This window comes from Homo sapiens, chromosome 17 (assembly GCF_000001405.40).
Source record: "Homo sapiens chromosome 17, GRCh38.p14 Primary Assembly".
NCBI lineage: Eukaryota > Metazoa > Chordata > Mammalia > Primates > Hominidae > Homo > Homo sapiens.
Window position 1 is genome coordinate 8,504,485 of NC_000017.11, and position 17,889 is coordinate 8,522,373.

The following is a 17,889-nucleotide window of genomic DNA, read 5'->3' on the forward strand; positions in this document are numbered from 1 at the left end:
TCTGCTGGTTTACCCACCCACCCCTGCACAGGTATTTCTACCCATAGGCTGGTCTGTTTCTAACCATTACCATTTAATCACCGTTCCACCTGCCATCACAAGGAAAAGCACACCACCTCCCAAAGATAGCAAGCACACCAGGCATTTCTGCACGGGCTCGGTGGAGAGGTCGGCAGGCGCCCGGGCCCTGCTTCCTCTCCCACACTCACCGTAGTTCCTGCTGGGCTGCCGTGGTGTCCAGCGTGTCCTCCAGCTCTGTTTTCAGAGCTTCCAGTTCCTCACTCAAGTCCCTTTTCTGCTTTTCGGCCTTGTTCCGTGAAGCCTTCTCGGATTCAAAGTCTTCCTGAAGTTCAGCAATTTGGGCTTGTAGCTCTCGCACAACTTTAAGGGCATTGTTCTTATGGAGTGTTTCATCATCACCTCTGTTAAAACACCCAGGCGCAAGAGGCACTCAGAGATGGCACCCGGATGGCCTGTTTCTCAGGCGAGCCCCAGCCCCTGAGCACCTCTCCACGAGACCCCAGCCCCACATCCCTCCTCCTGGGGCCTGAGGCTGGTGCAGATGCTCAGCACCTGCTAGGGCAGGAGGAGGTTCTCAGGTAGAGGCCTTGCTGAAGGCCCCAAAGCTAATGGTGGCAGAGCCAGAACTAGATTCCAGCCCCAGCCCCCTTTCCAAACGACCATGCTTCTCCATTAAAAGGTAGGACACTCTTACTTTAGCCCTTAGAATATGAAAACATTTTCTCTGAAGTCAAAGGCTGTTATAGTTAAAAATCTGCTTCTAACTATGAAGGAGTGACCTCCTCATCACACCGGAACCCAGCCAAACCAGGGATGCTCAAAGAACACAGTAGAAGAAAGAGGCTCTCATCCTCATACCCTCCAGGTGCCTCTCTTCCATAGGGCATCTTTTTGTTTATGTCTGTGGTTTAAAATGTTGGAAGATTTTTCTGATTGGGAATAGTTGGGATGTTTGAGGTAAGGGAGATTTTTCTTGAAAGATTTTGATTGTAACACATTATAAACTCCAAGTATTACAACCATGTAGCCAAATAGTTATTCTTTATAAAGAAATGAAACATTAGACATATATTTATTACATCTGATTTGCATTCTAAACTGAATGGTTTAGAACTGATTATTGAATCATGCTCTCAGTGGAGAAATATAATTTTTGAAAAGTGATTTCCCTTCAAGTTCTAAAACATACTACAGGCTGGGTGAGGTGGCTCACGCCTGTAATCCCAGCACTTTGGGAGGCCAAGTCAGGTGGATCACTTGGGGTCAGGAGTTTGGGACCAGCCTGACCAACATGGTGGAACCCCATCTCTACTAAAAATACAAAAATTAGCCAGTGTGGTGGTGCACACGTGTAATCCCAGCTAGTCGGGAGGCTGAGGCACGAGAATTGCTTGAACCCAGGAAGTGGAGTTTGCAGTGAGCTGAGATTGCACCACTGCACTCCAGCCTGGGTGACAGAGTGAGACTCCATTCAAAAAAAAAAAATAAATAAAACATACTACAGTTAATCTGTAATGTACAGAGACCAAAACATTTGTTATAGTGAAATAATTTGTTCTGGTGTGAATTTCCAAGGGTTTCATAATATAATTTGTCATTTTAAAGTATAAATATTGAGATGGTTTATGAGACTTTCTTGCTGTCCTGACACAAATTCTGTACGCCTGGGCTTTTCACTTTCTCAGGTCACACCAAACAGCAAGCAAACCCCATCTCACTCTCCCAGGGTTTTTGAATGCTCCCGAACATAACAAAGTCTGCTGAAACTCAGCCCCATGGGCTCCCGTGCAGCGCAGCTGCTGGGCTGCAGACCTGGCCAGTGCGCCCTGCAGCTCCTCCTCCTTCTTGGCCAGCTGCAGCTTGAGCTCATCAATCTGCGCCTGCAGCTCTGCGATCTGGTCCTGCAGGTCGGTCGTCTCCCCGTCGAGTTTTCTTTTGGCCTTTTCCAGTTCCTGACGAGTCTTTTCTTCCTTCTTTAAGCGTTCTTTAAGGTAAGACATAAGAAGCTCTTCAACACACCGAGTGACTCACCACAGGAATAAACTAAAATACAGACTGATCCAAGTTGAAAATAAGCCATTTTATTCAAAAGCATGTCACTGCCCTGATGACATGGTCATGCGCTGATGTCAACTGCTCAGTCATTTCAAACCCACCGAGATCTGGAGGGGAGATAAATTAGTGTGGGGAGGGAATTTTAAGGAAGAAGTTGAGTGTCCTAAGAATGTCCTTTCATGGGAGGTGAGACCACACTGTGAGAGCCGAAGGGAGCTGGAATCCTCTCATGTCAAACACATCACTGTACCCAGGTTTGCAAAGTGGCTCAGCAGGTGCTGGGGCAGCAATCGTAGCTGCCTGTCACCCCATTCCCTTTTCCATGGGAACCCCTGTTCTGAACCAAGAAAACTGCCATCCTCGAGTACTGGGAGAGAGGAGACAGAAGAGTGGGCAGAGAGGGCCAGGCCTTTTCTCCACCCTCCCCTCTAAAATTCTGCAGTGATCTCTCAGTTAGCCCTAGTGATCTATTTCACTGAATGATTTATTTCCTCACAACAACCTGTATGCCTTTGTGTTCTCCACCAGGAACCAATTTGCTGAGAGGATGAGACCGAGTGTCACAGGCTGATCAAACAGGTGAGTAAAAAAGCACATGTGCTTATGGGTACTTCCTCAGCAGAAGAACCATATACTAGTACAAATGGTTTATGAAAGTAATTTCATACTGACATGCCCTCTTTTGTTTATACTAAAACAAACAAACAAATAAAACCCCAAATATTTTTTAAAAGCCAACCCCATCGTCTTCCTATCATAAACGCACACATTAACCAAGAGTGGGCACCTGCCTGCAGGCGCCTGCACAGAGCTCCCTCCCCCTGGTGATGGTACCAGTCTCTAGCTGCTCTTTCCAACTTCCATCCTCTTTTCTTATTGCTTTTGCAGAAGCTGTAATGTCCTAGGATTTCCTGATATTACACTGTGGCTTGGCCCTCAGTAGTGTCTTCTCTGTATCTGCCAGCTTTTATGTCACTGGCCAGTCCCTTTGTGAGGTACTTTGTGGGCACTTTAATACAGCTTTAGATTAAACACAATGGTCTGTAGGACCCAAACAATATAACCCCAACCATGCCCACCAAAGAACAGTATCTTTTACCACAGTACCAAAGTTAAAAAAGGAAAACCAGGCCTGGCGCCATGGCTCACGCCTGTAATCCCAGCACTCTGGGAGGCCAAGGTGGGTGGATCACCTAAGGTCAGGAGTTTGAGACCAGCCTGACCAACATGGTGAAACCCCATCTCTACTAAAAATACAAAATTAGCCAGGTGTGGTTGGTGCATGCCTGTAATCCCCGCTACTTGGGAGGCTGAGGCAAGAGAATTGCTTGAACGCGGGAGATGGAGGTTGCAGTGAGCCAAGATTGCGCCACTGCACTCCAGCCTGGGCAACAAGAGTGAAACTCCATCTTAAAAAAAAAGAAAAAGAAAAAGGAAAACCATTTTATCATCATTTCAAGGCAACACAAAATAATCTTAAGAGCCCTTTTTATTATGTTTTAAATACAGGGTCTCGCTGTGTTACCCAGGCTGTAGTGCGGTTGCATGATCATAGCTCACTACAGTGAGCTCCTGGGCACAAGCAATTCTGCTGCCTCTGTCACCCCACGATCACAGCTCACTCTGGTGAGCTCCTGGGCGCAAGCAATCCTTCTGCCTCAGCTTCCAAGTAGCTGGGACTATAGATGTGCACCACTACGCCAGGCTAATTTGTAAATTTTTTGTAGAGATGGAGTCTCACTATGCTGCCCAGGCTGGTCTTAAACTCCTGGCCTCATGAGATCCTCCTGCCTCAGCCTCCCAAAGTGCTAGGATTACAGGCCTGAGACACCGTGCCCAGCCAAGGGACCTATTTTAATAAGTCAACCCAAACTGAAGGTCCTTATTATTAGTAATCATCATGTATATTTTTTATTTTTGCATGTTCTGATTACAGTAAAAGCTAAACACTCACATGTCCTAGTCCCTGATTTCTCTAGCCCCAAATACTAACCTTCTAAATCTGAGATCATCACTTCTTGCTTATTCCTGATTTTGGCCAAGTTTTTCGCCTTTTCTTCCTCTTCAGCCAGCTGAGAGGAACACTCAGCAATGCGATCTTCCATGAGTTTCTTTTCCTGGACAGGAAAAATTGACTGCTTCAGAAAAGCCATTCAGAATGACCACTTGGGTTCTGTATTCCTCATAAAGGTCAACTTTGACTCGAGAGAAAATAAGTTCTATCGGCACTGCCTCCCCCAGCAGACTGTACACAATCACATGCTGCAGAACGATGTTTTGGACAATGATGAACCGGATACACGACAGTGGTCTCCTAAGATGATCATGGAGCTGAAAACTTCATCGAGAGCTGTCATAACACCACAGTGCAATTACTCTATTTTTAAAATAAATGTACTGCAGCCTCAGTGTGCCATGTTGATAAAGTCTGCAGTCATGTACAGCAATGTCCTAGGCCTTCACATTCACTCAGCGCTCACTCACTGACTCACCCAGAGCAGCTTCCAGTCCTGCAAGCTCCGTTCATGGTGAGTGCCCAATAGAGGTGTGCCATTTTAAATCTTTTCTATCATTTTTACCGTACCTTTTCTATCATATTTTTACTGGACTTTTGTGTGGATATGTTTAGATACACAAGTACTTATTAGCACTGTGTTCCAACTGCCTACAGTATTCAGGACAGTAACATGCTGTACAAGTGTGTGGCCTAGATGCAATCAGCCCAGCGTCTGGTCTAGGTGTATAGCAGGCTCTACCATCTAGTTTGTGTCCATACACTCTATGATGTTTGTACGAGGATAAAATAACTTCACAATGCATTTCCCAGAATGTGTCCTCATCGTTAAACAACACACGACTGTACTCCAAAAGGGCAGAAAGGCTTACACGTCTTGGTGCCCACCCCGGGAGCTTGGCCCAGCTGCCTGGTATTCAGAGTCCCACAGTCAATGGTGGATGAATTAATGCTTGCACAGATGGAGACAAGTCATCATTGAGTGACCATTATGCACAAACTGCACATGTTACAAGTCTAAAAGATTATCAGGATATTTGATAAGGTTTAAAAAATTCAATGGTGCCTGTATCTTTAGAAATCTATACAAGTAGAGACTTACAGAGAAAATTCAGTAAATGAACCTAAAATCTTGAGAAATTTCTGTTTGAGTTCACTTTCAATGAGTGTATCAACATAATATTATATAAATATTTTCTGTAACTAAAATCAGCTTTTTGTGGGAACACTCTCTTACTTTGATGAACTTGGAATTTTGGTCCTCGAGAAGCAGAATCTCCTCTTCCATCTTCTTGATCTTGGCCTCTGCTGTCACCTTTTCCAGCTGCAGCTTTTGCCGAGCCCCTTCCTCCTCGTCTAGCTGTTCTTCCAGGTCCTTGTGAAGAACACACAGTCAGTCTCGCCACTTTCTCGAGATTTGACCACACATTCATTGTGCACAGGAATGCATTACAATGAGATACTAATTTTTTTTTTTTTTTTGACACGGAGTCTCGCTCTGTTGCCCAGGCTGAAGTGCAGTGGTGCCACCTCGGCTCGCTGCAACCTCCACCTCCTGGGTTCACGCCATTCTCCTGCCTCAGCCTCCCGAGTAGCTGGGACTACAGGTGCCCGCCACCACGCCCGGCTAATTTTTTGATTTTTTTTTTGGTAGAGATGGGGTTTCACCATGTTAGCCAGGATGGTCTTGATCTCCTGACCTCATGATCCATCCGCCTCAGCCTAGATACTAATTTTTGATTCTCAAAATGCCAAGGATATTTAAAAAAATATGAAATGCAGTTATGTGAAATAGACATTTGTATCCGCTACAGGCTAAAGTACAAACTGGGTCAATCCTTCTAGAAGCCAACATGGCAAAACATAGCTTTAAAAATGAGCCTTTCCTTTCAACCAGCAATTTCAGGAAATTGTCACAGATGCAATTTATATAAAAAGACATACAGTGATAAGTTATTTATAATATTGAGTAACTATGAACATGCTACAAAAAGGTCTTGGTAATTAAATGTTGGCACATTTGTTAAATGGAATAATATATAGTAATTAAAATTCACATTTTGGAATAATAGCAACACAGACAAACATGAATAATGTAGTAGCACTCATCAAATGTGTATTTAATTTAGCTGAATCCAACTATATACATGTTCGGCCAAAGAAGAGAGAAAGAGAACATGAAAACAATAATTTAAATAGTACAGGTCGTGAGAAATGAGCTGTCTCAGTTCAAGTGTACCTTTCACAGCAGAAGCACCTCATCAAACTGGGCGGGAGCATAGAGTTTACATGTATTTTTATTAGAACGTGCAGATCTTTATAATCTACATTACTGTTTATGATAAACATGCTATTACACAGGATCACAGATAGATTACCCCATTTTATATGAGGTGATTATTACACACTACATGCCTGTATCAAAACATCTCATGTACCCCATATATATATATATATATATATATATATATATATATATATATATACACACATACATACATACACACACACACACTTAATATATACGCATAAAAATTAAAATTAAAAACAAAGTGTTACAGCTCTTTTAGAATTTGTCTAGCAGGATTTCTGGTTTCTGGTGGAAAGCTCCCATCCCCTCCAAAAAACGAAATTAAAAAAAAAGTTAAACAAAACAAAACCCAGGCTGGGCGCAGTGGCTCACGCCTGTAGTCCTAGCACTTTGGGAGGCCGAGGTGGGTGGATCACCTGAGGTCAAGAGTTCGAGACCAGCCTGGCCAACGTGGTGAAACCTCGTCTCTACTAAAAATACAAAAATTAGCTGGGCGTGGTAGCAGGCGCCTGTAATCCCAGCTACTGGGGAGGCTGAGGCAAGGGAATCACTTGAACCGAGGAGGTGGAGGTTGCAGTGAGCCGAGATTGCGCCATTGCACTCCAGCCTGGGCAACAAAGCGAGACTCCGTCTCAAAAACAGAACAAAAAAACAAAAACAAAAACAAACCCCAAAAAACCAAAACTAGGGTTGTACAAATCAACACATGGCCAACTTAAGGAAATGTTCAAGAGTAACTTCGGCTAAATAATTTACTCATCGTTAATTTTAGAATGAAACCATGGCAAAAAATGAGTGTTTTCTTGTAAAAATTTCAAACACACATACAAGCACACAGACCAGCATAATAAGCCCCACACAGAAGCATCACCTTGACCTTAACAAGCATCAACTCATGGTCAATTCCATTTCATGTGTGCCTCCACCTGCTCCCTTCTCCCCCTAGGTTATTTTGAAGCAAATCCCAGACATCATATTTCACTTGTAAAACCTTCAGGCTGTACCTCTAAAATATAAAGACCATTTAAAAAGCACATTTGTCTGTTTCAATCACAATCCAAAAATTGTGCCTCATGAGTACAGCCTGTATTTCAAAAAGAAAGTTAAGTACCAGGGAAGGGCTAATTTTTAAAAATTCTCATTCTGACTGTTGGCCACCTCCTATGTCAGTGCTGAGCGTTTCTTATTAGCCAAACCACGTAGTAGATGTCTATCTAATGAATGGAGTGAGCAACAGAATCACTGACAACATGAAGAACAAGTTAGGTCTTCTACAGAATGCTATAGATCCTGGGAGGTTTGCGACTGTGAATCTCTTTGCAAACTGTAAGATGCCACTTAGAACATAAAAAAGATTCCTATACAAAATGACAAATCTTTGTTCAAAGAAAATCTATTATAGGTGTGTTTCAAATGATGGTCATCTTTCTAAGAGTGGCTTCTCATAACCCAGAACCCTTTTGCTTCTCTGTGGACTTAAGAATCCAAACACATAACTTCTGTTTATTCAACAGATCCACTTGAAAATCCAAAATATGCTTCTAAGTAAAAATTATTATACATACCTGAATATGTGCTTGCATTTTTTTCTTTTCATTTTGGAGGATTTGGTTTCTTTCTTCTTCTTCTTCAACCCTAGACTCCAAGTCATGTAGAATCTCTTCTAATTCCTGCTTTTTAGCAGCAAGTCTTGCCCTCATCTCTTCTGCTTCAGCAAAGAGCTCAGTCTCTGCTTGTAGTTGTTCTGCAAGGATATTCTTCTCTTCTAAAAGCTGCAATCACAATAAAGTGTCTGTGATTTGCCCCTATTACATACGTACACAGTATATATTCGCCGTGATTTCAATGGTCAATGCACATCAAAGAAACTGGGAGATAAAAATATATAACATCACGGGAAGAACTTTCAAATACGTTTTTGTCTATAGCAAAATAAGCAAGATGAAAATATTTTGGTTGTTCCTGTTGTCTCAAGTTACTGTGAATAATACATATTAAATTCATGATAGTTCATCTATGAAGGTAATTTACAAGGGACAGATAAATAGGAGAGTGAAAATATTATTCAAATGCCATAAAGTTCATGGTGATTACTAATGCCTGTTTGGTAGTAAGTGATATCCTTGGCCTTTATTGTTAATATTTTTGGCCTTGAACACTATAATTCTATTATTGCCACAACAAACATCTCCTGAGCCTCAGCTTTGTCCATGAAGAAAACTTCCCAGAAGAGGGACACACATTCAAGACCACTGCTGCTAGAGAAGTTCAGGTGGTGACCTCTACTCAAGCATCTCGTCCTTTGACCATTTTTCTATTTCCCCTCATAAACAGACATAGGAAGGTGACAGTACCGGGAACCTCATCGAAAACAGGTGTTAAGTACATGCTTGACACCAAGAATAACAAAAGCAAAGATGCAAGAGGTAAGGTTGATTTTAACTTCTACAAATCTAAAATGCAAGGCAGAATGTATCTGTTAACTCTATTGGCAAAATATATACAATTTGGAAATGAGTGAAAAGGCCTCCCATAAAATAAGATGATATGGTGGGTACAGCTATTCATAATGAAATGTGTCGGGGTTGCTACCAGTGCAAGATCTCATAGGGATTCAGGGCCAAGTGTGAGTTACAAGGTCACTGCACACACCTGCTGGTGCTTCCGCTCCATCTCCTCCAGCTCTCCTTCCACCTTCGTCTGCTTCTCCTTCACCTTCAACAGCTCTTCATCTTTGGCCTGAAGTTCTTCCTCCTGGCGAGTCACTTGTAGAAGCGGCTTCACCTATGACAAAATTAAGCAGTTTTTTTTTTTTTATCATTCCAGCTCTTTCCTATGGGTTTTTCCTGATCAGACTCTGCTATTTGAAAGGGATCTGGAAAGAAGTGAGCCAAGCTCACCTTTGTGAAGACTCGCCACCACTGCCAGTGCCGTAATTTCAGGTACGCGGCACAGTTCCGCTGCAAGACCTTTAAGGCACTTAGTTGCTGCTGCTTCTTGGCAAAGGCCCTGAAGAACAATAAGAAAAACTTATGATGTAAAGAAAAAAGTGCTTGAATGGCTGTTGTCATAAGAAGCCTTTCTAAAGGCCCGTGTTCTTCTTTGTCTAGGATAGGGAATGATTGCATCAATCAAGTCCTGGGTGAGACGCACAAGGAAGCCGTTCTGGCCGCTCGAAGCCACACTGGCTTGTTGGCCTGCTCAGCCCACCTCAGGCCCCTGGCACCAGTTCCTGCACTGACTTTCTTCAGGGACGCTGCCCTGCACATTCTCCTGCTGCCACTCAGCCATATACCCACACTGCGCACACTAAGAAACCGATTTTCCTGAGGCAATGAAGACTGTAGACAGAAGGGCCCGTTTTCTCTGTGCTGCTCTCTTTATCGTGCCTTTAGGAGCTACTCTCGTTTTCCTTTTGATATGTCACAGAAGAAACATTTCTCCCCAACCCCCAAGGTAATTTTTCTCCTCCTTCCCTCCACTTTGCCGCAATGGAGCGCAGCACTCAAAAGCTACAATGGGGTTGTCAATGTCTCTCATTTACGGCCCGGCCTCCTCCAGGGCCTGGAGATGACTCTAGATCTGTGGAGCCCTCACCTCCTTGTGACCATACCTGGGCTTCCCACTACACCCTGTCACCTCCTCAGCCCCACAGCAGGGTCTGAGACCCAGTTCCCATTCGCCTTCACTCTACTATTTTTCAATTTCTCACTCTCCTTCAGGAACACAGAAACCCTCAACCCCCCTCCTGCCAAAAACAACCCCCAGGCCCAAATGAAGCTCATTACCTTGCGGTTCCTTCGACAGACAACTGACATTTTTCTACTCCTTATGAAACTCTCAGGGTCCACAGGCAAACGTTCCTATTACTGACTTCCTGGCTTCCAGCAGTCGGCTTTCTATCCCACCACGCTACCGAAGCTGCATTTTAGATCTTGACAAAGGACTCCCAGACTCAGAACTTAGCGGCTTTTCCTCAGCCAAATCCAAGTGCCTGGCACGCTGCACTCCTCTGGGGACTACCCACTACTGGACATCTCATCCCTGCATTCCAGAGCACCAGAACGGCCTCCGAGTCTCCTGGGCCCCGCTAACAGTGCTGATGCTCCACTCCGACAGTCCACTCACACGGCTGCGCTCCCACCTAGACTCTGAGTTCCTCAGGAGCAGGGATCATGGCCCAGGCATTTTTGTTGGCACAACCAAGTGACCGACAGACTCCAGGCCTCCTGAGGATGTTTGTTGAGTAAATTAACTGGGTATTTCCTAGAAATAATCTGTAATTGTTTCTCTGGAGTCCTTTTATAACGGCTTGCAGGAGTAGCTATAGGACTCTCCTGGGAAAGAGAAGCAATTGAAGGCGATGGAAAAAATAAGAAAAACATTTTGAATTATTCATTCACTCCAGCAAACAGCGGTATCAGGAGTGGGAGTGTCTTAAGAAAAGACAGACAGTTGCTGTTTTAGAGCAAAAATTACCTACCTGTCACATTTCCTTGCAAGAATCCCACAACTGCTATACTGCCAACGAATTCCTCCTTGCTGGTTAGAATTTTCCCTGAACCCACTGCTTCATAACTGATTTTATTCTTGCTCCTTACAAAACCTTCTAACTTATTCCTACCAGCCAAAAAGAATTAGCCAAGTCTTTTTTTTTTTTTTTTTTTTTTTTTTTGAGACAGAGTCTTGCTCTGTCGCCCAGGCTGGAGTGCAGTGGTGCAATCTTGGCTCACTGAAACCTCTGCCTCTTGGGCTCAAGCGATTCTCATGCCTCAGCCTCCCGAGAAGCTGGGACTACAGGTGTGCACCACCATGCCTTGCTAATTTTTTGTATTTTTAGTAGAGACAGGGTTTCACCATGTTGGCCAGGCTGGTCTTGAACTCCTGACCTCAAGTGATCCCCCCGCCTCGGCCTCCACAAGTGCTGGAATTACAGGTGTGAGCCACCGTGCCTGGCCGGGATTGGCCAAGTCTTAATTCCAAGAGTTTCTACTACAAAAACAAAAGTTTCAAAAATGACTTTTGAATCTATTAAGCATCCACCTTCCAATTCTTGCAATCTCCTTCAGGAATGCTGTACAAATTCACCCAATCTTCTTATTAAAAACTACTGCCCTAGTTGCTTCTTTGGCCCTCTGGGAGATAAAACTGTCAAATGATGAGTCAGAAACATGCCGGGCACTTTGTTTAGTGGAATGAGGCAGCTGGTTTCCTTCTCCGCAGTGGTCGGCTGATTTCTATTACACCTGTGTGTCAGGCACTGTCCTCCAGGTTTTCATGAGGGAGCTGTGACATCAACCTATCTCCGAGTGTTTGGAAAGTGGACTTCAAAAGTGTTCAAAATCACTTTAGCTCCTTCCCCCTTTTTATCCTTATCCCAATGTCCTCCAGGGTGCTTCAAGCTCAAGTTCATGGATTTCTGTAAAGATACCTATTATTTTGACTATTGTAAGCACTATTCTGCCTTTTTCCACAGTACAATCTGGTTCTTTTGAATAGGTTATCTTCTTTTTTTGATGTATCCTGATTTTAAGTTCCAGCCTACCATATGCATAGTGTGAATAAAATATTGAGGGGCAGGGGCTGCAAAGGCAAAGGCATGCTGGCTTACATATAAGATTACATGGATTTGTTAGCTTTAAGTCCTTAAGATGAAATAATGCAAGTGAAATATCTTTGTTTTTAACTTTCTATCTTGAAAATTTTGCAAGCAAGGTTTAGATCAATGAAAAAGCTGCACAAAGTATATCTATATACTTCGTTTCCTGCACTTTCGATAGTTGTAGCATGTTTCTGGCAGATGTCAAGTTTTTTGCTAACTCTATGAAGTTAGCCTGGCACCTGCCATTGCTCACTCCTTATGCTATGTTAGGCATTCTGCAGTTCAGTGGATACAGTGAGGAGAGTCTCTGCTATCAACAGGTTCTCTTTATTATTTATATAGTATCTAAATATTAGTATATAAAAACCCGGCCGGGCACAGTGGCTCACGCCTGTAATCCCAGCACTTTGGGAGGCTGAGGCGGGTGGATCACAAGGTCAGGAGATCGAGACCATCCTGGCTAACACGGCGAAACCCCATCTCTACTAAAAAAAATACAAAAAATTAGCCGGGTGTGGTGGCGGGCGCCTGTAGTCCCAGCTACTCGGGAGGCTGAGGGAGGAGAATGGCATGAACCCAGGAGGCGGAGCTTGCAGTGAGCCGAGGTCGCGCCACTGCACTCCAGCCTCAGCGACAGAGCGAGACTCTGTCTCAAAAAAAATAAAATAAAAACCCAATTCTTTTACTCCTTTTTGCCAAATGTTTCTTAGTATCAACCCGAAGATATCATCTATTTGTCTTCAACTTTCCATGCTACTCTTTTTACTCTGTATTCTATTTTATAGGCAAAAATCCACAAGTATTGCCTTTACCTTCTTCCGTTTAAAGCCCTCTTGACCACTATCTGGGCAAGCAGACTGCCCAGGAACCAGAGCTGTTTTCCAACCCACATGTAGAGTACATTATTACAGAGTGCTGACTTCCAGTCCAGGTGTTCAGATTCTGTTTGCTCAAAACTGTCTGGATGGCAAACTATTCAACCTGTCTCAAATTCTCTCACTCCCAAACCCGAAGTGTTCAGTAGAAAGAAGTAAATACCAGTATTACCTTCTAAATCCAAATCAGTTCTAAGTCCTTTGAATTCTATCTCAAATTTAACAACTTTTCTCTCGTTCTCCACCACCACCTTCTTGGGTCCAGGCACCATCATCTTCTACCCAAATCACTAAGACAGCTTCCCAACTGGCCCTCCCAATTCTATTCTTGGCCAATTCTCAATGGATTCTGCCTACCGCAGCCAGGCGGCCTTGACAGTATAGATTCCCCCTCACTGCACTCCTAACCCCTGTCCAGCGTCTGATTCTCAAGCCTCTTCTCTCACCTTGCTCCCTCTCACCCATCCTGCTCCAGCCACACTGGACTGTGTCACCTTCTCAAATGCTGCCAGACTCTTGCCAGGATGCTGCTGTAGTTCCCTTACTGAAAAGCTTCTCTCTCCTCCCTTCACAGGGCCAGCCTTCTTACCCTTGAGGTTTCAGCCTCAGAGAAGCATTCTCTGAGGACTTGAGCTGAAGCAGGACCCCATACCCCTTGGCCCCGTGTGTGTGTGTGTGTGTGTGTGTGAGAAGCATTCTCTGAGGACTTGAGCTGAGGCAGGACCCCATACCCCTTGGCCCCGTGTGTGTGTGTGTGTGTGTGTGTGTGTGTGTGTGTGTGTGTGTTTGAGATAGGGTCTCACTTTGTCACCCAGGCTGGCATGCAGTGGTACCATCTTGGCTTATTGCAGCCTTGACCTCCTGGGTTCAAGAGATCCTCCCGCCTCAGCTCCCACAGGTAGCTGGGACTACAGGCGCATGCTACCAAGCCTGGCTAATTTTTGTATTTTTAGTAGAGATGGGGTTTTGCCATGAAGCCCTGGCTGGTCTCGAACTCCTGAGCTCAAGTGATCTGCCCACTTCAGCCTCCCAAAGTGCTGGGATTACAGGCCTGAGCCACCACGCCCAGCCTCCTTGTGTGTTTTTGTATTGCAACATCCCATTACTTAGAATGTTCATGTATTTACCTGACTATCTCTGCCACTATAAAGCAACTTCTGTAAGGACAGACTATGTCTCACACACTCTTGCACCCCAGGTCAAAATGCAATGCTTATCTAGCACAAGCACTTCCTCAGTGAACGATTAATTCGTGAATACCCACTCACTTTCTGGCCAGGTAACCTCTGCAAACGGCCTGGAAGAAGATAATGATATCGGTGATTTTTAAATCTCTTTCTTCCTCTAAGTGTGCCAGAACTCCAGCTCTGAAAAATATCTTGCTCTGTCCAATTCTGTACAAGTTTGGGTCCAATTCTAAAGCCCGGATCTAAGAGAGAAAGAGTTTATTTACTTTTTTTAACTACAAGAAAGATTAGATTAAATCTACAAGCCAGAAAAAGATCAAGAAAACCTTACCATTCGTTCACAGGCCTGTTTACCATCCATAAAACCTTTAGGAATAGCATTTGGAGTTAGGATCTCATATCTGTAAGAGAATATTCCAAGAAGTATTTTGTAGAAATTTGTGAACGATGTGTATCTACTAACTGTGTGTTTTGCTCTAAGAGGCAATAAAATGTTGGGTAATACATGTTAAAGATATGATGTAATACATGTTCAAGAAATGAACTGGTGATAATCTGATGTTTTCTGTAGATCTACTTTATTTCTCATAAGTAAAAATGAGGTTAGTTCTTTCAGGTCAAAAAGTAGGTTTAGGAGGTTGTGGCAGAGAAAAATCAAAAGCATGGTGTTTTAGAAACCTTTCATTTTTCTTCATGTCCCATAAAATGTTCATATCCTTAAGACGCAAAAGAGAATCTGGCTTTCTGTACTTTAAGTCACTGTCAATTTGTAGCATTTATTAGATAACAGGAAGGGCTGTAAGAGCTGTGTTCATAGGCTTCTATTCAAAACATCAGAAAATATCAGGGTGACATGTGACATGACGTTGGTCTGGGTGTATACACATACATATGTTCACTGAGCTGCACATTTAAAATCTGTGTACCTCACTGTATACAGTCTATACCTCAATCAGAAAAATAAAAGATACTGGCTATATATTAAAGGAGGAATCCTGGCTACATCAATCAACTTTGTATCTTGGATGCCAATTATACTCCCTTTTTCTCCTAACAATAAAAAATGAAAATCTACCAGACTTCATCATACAATGGGATCAGAATGATGGCTTTCCTCAAGACACACATGGACTGGAAAAGCTTCTCAAGGTGATTCTATCTGGAACAGTGGGAGAAAGGGCACAAAGACCATTCTTTGACCTGGCAGCACCATTTATTTCATGGAACAGCAAATGGTGTCATACTTTCAAATCTGATTTCCAGAAAAAAGAAGAAAAAAAGCAAACTAAAAGTAACTATTCAAGAAAATTACCAAATAAAAGTTAAAAATAACTCTCAACATATGTTTGTATCCATTTCCACTGCAAGTTGATAGATCTTTTCCCTTTTGTTTTTTCTTAATCCTTTTCTATCTACTCCTTTCCCTATGTTAGCTAAAAGACTGTAATTGCACGCATGTGTGTGCACATGTATACACATACATTGGAAAAAATACATACACATACACACACACATACAGATATATTCATTGAGAAAAGATGGAAAGAAGTACCCCAACATGTTTTTAGGAATCACTCCTTGATGATTTTTATTTACTTTTTTACTTCTCTTGTATTTTCCAATTTTCCTAAAAGGAACATACATTACTCATCTATTTAAAAAATCAATTTTAAAAATAATTATGTTAGGCCTGTAATCCCAGCACTTTGGGAGGCCGAGGCGGGATCACGAGGTCAGGAGATCGAGACCATCCTGGCTAGCTCAGTGAAACCCCGTCTCTACTAAAAATACAAAAATTTAGCTGGGCATGGTGGCACGTGCCTGTAGTCCCAGCAACTCAGGAGGCTGAGGCAGGAGAATCGCTTGAACCTGGGAGGCGGAGGTTGCAGTGAGCCGAGATGGCTCCACTGTACTCCAGCCTGGGTGACAGAGCGAAGACTCCATCTCAAAAATAATAAATAAATAAAAATAAAAATAATTATGTTTGAATCCCAGGTAGAACTGTCTGAATGAGTAAACTGTAAGCTTTCAGCTTTCTATGTTTATCTCAAAGCTAACTTCAGGGCCCTGAAAACATGGCATGTTTCTTTGCAGCGCCCATAGCAGTTCCTAGCACACTCCCTTTTTATAAAGTAGGCACTCAATCTTCCTACCAATAATCAAGGTAGTAAGGATTGTCCCTTTTCCAGAACCTCACTATATGTTTGCTATATAAGAAAACAAACTATGTAGGGGACAAGGAAAAAGATTTCCTTATTTTATCACTGTTTTAATTCATATCAAGATAAACTCTGATACATAAGCAAAAAAAGTAAAAGTTAGCAATACCTCTGTCTGAATTCCTGGAAAACTATTCGGTTAGGGAAGCCCTGGCGACAGATTCGGATCCCTTCCAGGACACCGTTACAGCGAAGCTGATCTAGGACTAGGTGTGGATCCAATTTTCCAGCCTAATCAAGCAAACAATAGTTTCATGGTTTAATCTTTAGCATCTGACCTAGATCAGTTTTAAATACTAGCATATGTTTTGCTCAGCACGTACCCTCTTCTCGTGATTTGGAATGATACAACGAACAAAGTTAGGGTTGGTGTTTCGGAGAGTTGCCATCAGCTTGGTGAGAGATTCTTTGTAGAGTTGCCCAACGGTACGAAACATGCCCTTCTTGGTTTTATATGCGGAGCCAAAAGCTGTCTCAGTCATACCAGTGACTTGATCCAGACCCACGATACGGTCCACTGGGGAGAAGAAAGGAGAAAACAAATATAAGCCAAACCTCACTCGTTAGCAGGGAAAGAAAAGACACAGTGAAAGTGCAGCAGCACAAGCTTTGTGGAACAAATGACAGGAGATGCCATATAGGTAAGGCAGTCAGCATACTTAGGCACTGCACAAGCCGGGAACTAACAGCCACACACTTATATGGCAGGATACTGTAGTGCTTTGACAGCTCCACACCAACACACACCAGCAGATGCCTTCCGCTGCGCTAGTTTCAGGAATTCACTGTCTTGGATAACATTCTGACTGTTACATTTACAATTATTTGGAAAATGAAAACTCATTGGCTGGCATTATTGATACATACAAACTGATACTGTGAAAGGCCTCCAAATAGGAAATGGCTCATAAAAATATATATAAGAATATCTGATTGTACAAATCCACTTAACAAATAACCTCAGGGACTAGGGACCAGAATTCTCTCTTATTAGTCATTAGATATTCAGTGAGAAAAGTCATTCAAGTTTTAGGAACAAATGCAGGAAGATTAGATTACAGGAGTTCAGATTTTTAGCAATGTGTAAGCTTCAGTTCTCTTCTCAAAACATGAATAACACTTACTAAAGGGCAAGAACACAAAATAGGAAGGACTCTTCTGAAAAGATAAATGACTAAGCTTCCTAGGTGTTCAATGGCTAAACTTGTCAGACATTCCCTTGTTACAGCAACCGATAGTTTTACATTATCCACAAAGACCTAGTACTTCTAATGATGAGACCATAAACAGTACACCAGCCACAAGCAAAACATTTGGTGCATAATGTACATATCCTCTTATTGAAAAGAAGTTAAATGAATGAAACACATTACTCAAATACTTTAAAATCAATCAGAATTATCAACTGAACTGCCCTTTTTAATGCCCTCCTCAACCCTAATGGACACCTCATTTCTTTCATTTGTTTCCTTTGACAGAAGCATATGGGGACCTGACACTGTATGAAGAGCTTTATGTGCAAGATCTCATTCAATTATCAATTTCCAATGAGGTTTTTAACACAAGAGAACCAAGACCCCGGGAGGTAAAAGTGAACTGCTCAAG

General features: G+C 42.8%; 1 protein-coding gene, 1 long non-coding RNA gene and 1 pseudogene across 6 annotated transcripts in view, besides 1 other annotated feature; 2 read left to right on the forward strand and 1 right to left on the reverse strand.

Annotated features, from left to right (window-relative positions):
- Window positions 1–17,889, reverse strand: part of MYH10 (myosin heavy chain 10) — a 156,514-nt gene that overhangs the window by 30,273 nt on the left and 108,352 nt on the right. For all 4 annotated transcript variants that reach the window (NM_001375266.1, NM_005964.5, NM_001256095.2 and 1 more), the window contains 11 exons: window positions 16,608–16,801; window positions 16,394–16,515; window positions 14,397–14,466; window positions 14,147–14,307; window positions 9,302–9,410; window positions 9,054–9,185; window positions 7,967–8,173; window positions 5,328–5,465; window positions 4,070–4,193; window positions 1,834–2,005; window positions 210–422 (listed from right to left, as the gene is read on the reverse strand). In NM_001375266.1, coding sequence (NP_001362195.1) covers window positions 210–422; window positions 1,834–2,005; window positions 4,070–4,193; window positions 5,328–5,465; window positions 7,967–8,173; window positions 9,054–9,185; window positions 9,302–9,410; window positions 14,147–14,307; window positions 14,397–14,466; window positions 16,394–16,515; window positions 16,608–16,801 — 1,642 coding nt within the window. The remainder of the gene's footprint in view (window positions 1–209; window positions 423–1,833; window positions 2,006–4,069; window positions 4,194–5,327; window positions 5,466–7,966; window positions 8,174–9,053; window positions 9,186–9,301; window positions 9,411–14,146; window positions 14,308–14,396; window positions 14,467–16,393; window positions 16,516–16,607; window positions 16,802–17,889) is intronic.
- Window positions 420–9,350, forward strand: LOC102724262 (uncharacterized). 2 transcript variants are annotated; one of them, XR_934210.3, is made up of 5 exons: window positions 420–886; window positions 1,707–2,655; window positions 4,267–4,604; window positions 8,736–8,827; window positions 9,228–9,350. It is a non-coding gene; the product is annotated as an uncharacterized LOC102724262 (long non-coding RNA). The 2 variants fall into 2 exon arrangements; XR_001752779.2 differs by lacking the exons at window positions 420–886; window positions 8,736–8,827 and having other exon boundaries at window positions 2,005–2,655.
- Window positions 6,642–6,701, forward strand: RNU7-43P (RNA, U7 small nuclear 43 pseudogene; annotated as a pseudogene).
- Window positions 8,740–9,939: an enhancer, noted in NCBI's record as "BRD4-independent group 4 enhancer chr17:8416542-8417741 (GRCh37/hg19 assembly coordinates)". NCBI's record gives its function as "activates an origin of replication core promoter dependent on BRD2, P300/CBP, MED14 and CDK7 cofactors, and independent of BRD4, by STARR-seq in HCT116 cells {active_cell/tissue: HCT116}" and the evidence as "EXISTENCE:reporter gene assay evidence [ECO:0000049][PMID:35650434]".